Source organism: Homo sapiens, chromosome X (assembly GCF_000001405.40).
Source record: "Homo sapiens chromosome X, GRCh38.p14 Primary Assembly".
NCBI classification, from domain to species: Eukaryota; Metazoa; Chordata; class Mammalia; order Primates; family Hominidae; genus Homo; species Homo sapiens.
The window spans coordinates 137,096,216-137,097,461 of record NC_000023.11 but is presented as its reverse complement, the minus strand read 5'-3'; the positions used below and the strand labels follow the sequence as shown (position 1 = coordinate 137,097,461).

The 1,246-nt window shown below is 37.4% G+C and overlaps 1 annotated feature.

The window, feature by feature from the left end:
* Window positions 394-616: a silencer, noted in NCBI's record as "fragment chrX:136179005-136179227 (GRCh37/hg19 assembly coordinates)". NCBI's record gives its function as "represses an EF-1alpha promoter that drives an FKBP-Casp9 reporter gene in an ReSE screen in HepG2 liver carcinoma cells {active_cell/tissue: HepG2}" and the evidence as "EXISTENCE:reporter gene assay evidence [ECO:0000049][PMID:32094911]".

Here is a 1,246-nt window from a genome sequence, read left to right as displayed (position 1 = left end):
GATTAAAATCCTTTAATGTCTCCCTATTAAATACTGGATTAAGTCCCGAATACTTAGCCTGGCTTGTGAGGACCTTTCATTTTCTGCCCTCCCACCCTCACAGCAACCATGCCACTTAGTTCATCGGCCTCACATTTGAACACTTCCCTCCACCCTTTCTTTGTGCCATCTCCACCAAACTGCTTTTTTTCTTTCAAAAAAGATTTTACTATGGAAAATTTCAGGCATATGCAAAAGTGAAAAGCATACTAAAATTAATCTCCCTATACTTATCATCCTGCTGCTTCAAAATTATCCAATTCCTGTCATTCTTGTTTTATCTATTTCCTCTCCTCCCCATTCCACACACTTTGGTTTTTCTGGAGCATTTTAAAGCAAACCTCAGGTATCATATAAATTTACCTGTAAATCCTCAAGTGGGCCATTTTCACAGAGGAAGACTCATCAACCTGCTTGCTGTTTTCCAAACATCTCATTCTCTCCTGTGCCTTTTCACAGTCTATTCCTTCCACCAAGTGTGGGCTTGGTTCCCTCACTTCTCTGCCTGACGAACTCCTAGGTACCCTCCAAAGCCCATCCTAAATGTTACCCTCTCTGTGAAACCTTCTCAGGTTCCTCTCTGTTGTGCTCCCACAGCACTTTGTACATATCTTACATATTTATTTATAAAATAGAAACATAATAGAATATATAAATGTAGTTCATATGATATTAATATATCATACAATATTATTGTGTATTTTATATTTCATTGAAATATTATGTAGAGTATGGTGTCGAGTCTATTGTATTCAAATTATGTGTTTGTGTGCCTGTCTCTCCTGCTAAAGGAGCTGTTTGAGGCAGAAAATGTTTCTACCTTTTCACAGCTTGAGCCCACTGCCCAATGCATATTTATACACCTAGCACTTAGCACAGTCTTTGCCACATGGTGTCTAACTTGCAAATATTTGTTGAATTAACACATTAACTAAGTGTGATATCAAAAAAGAGTATAGAATTTGCAGTCGAACATACCTGGATTTAAGTCCCAGTTCTAGCAGTTATTTACAAGCTATTTTATCTGGTAAGCCTCACTTTCCTCATCTGGCCATTGGAATAGGAACACCTACCTCCTTGGATTGTTGTGAGGATCAAATAAGACAGTAAATATAAAGGTAATCACTAAATACAAAAATCTTTCTATATGGAAGGCTTTGCTATGAACATCAACAAATATACAGTAGGACCTAAGGTATAAGGAGTG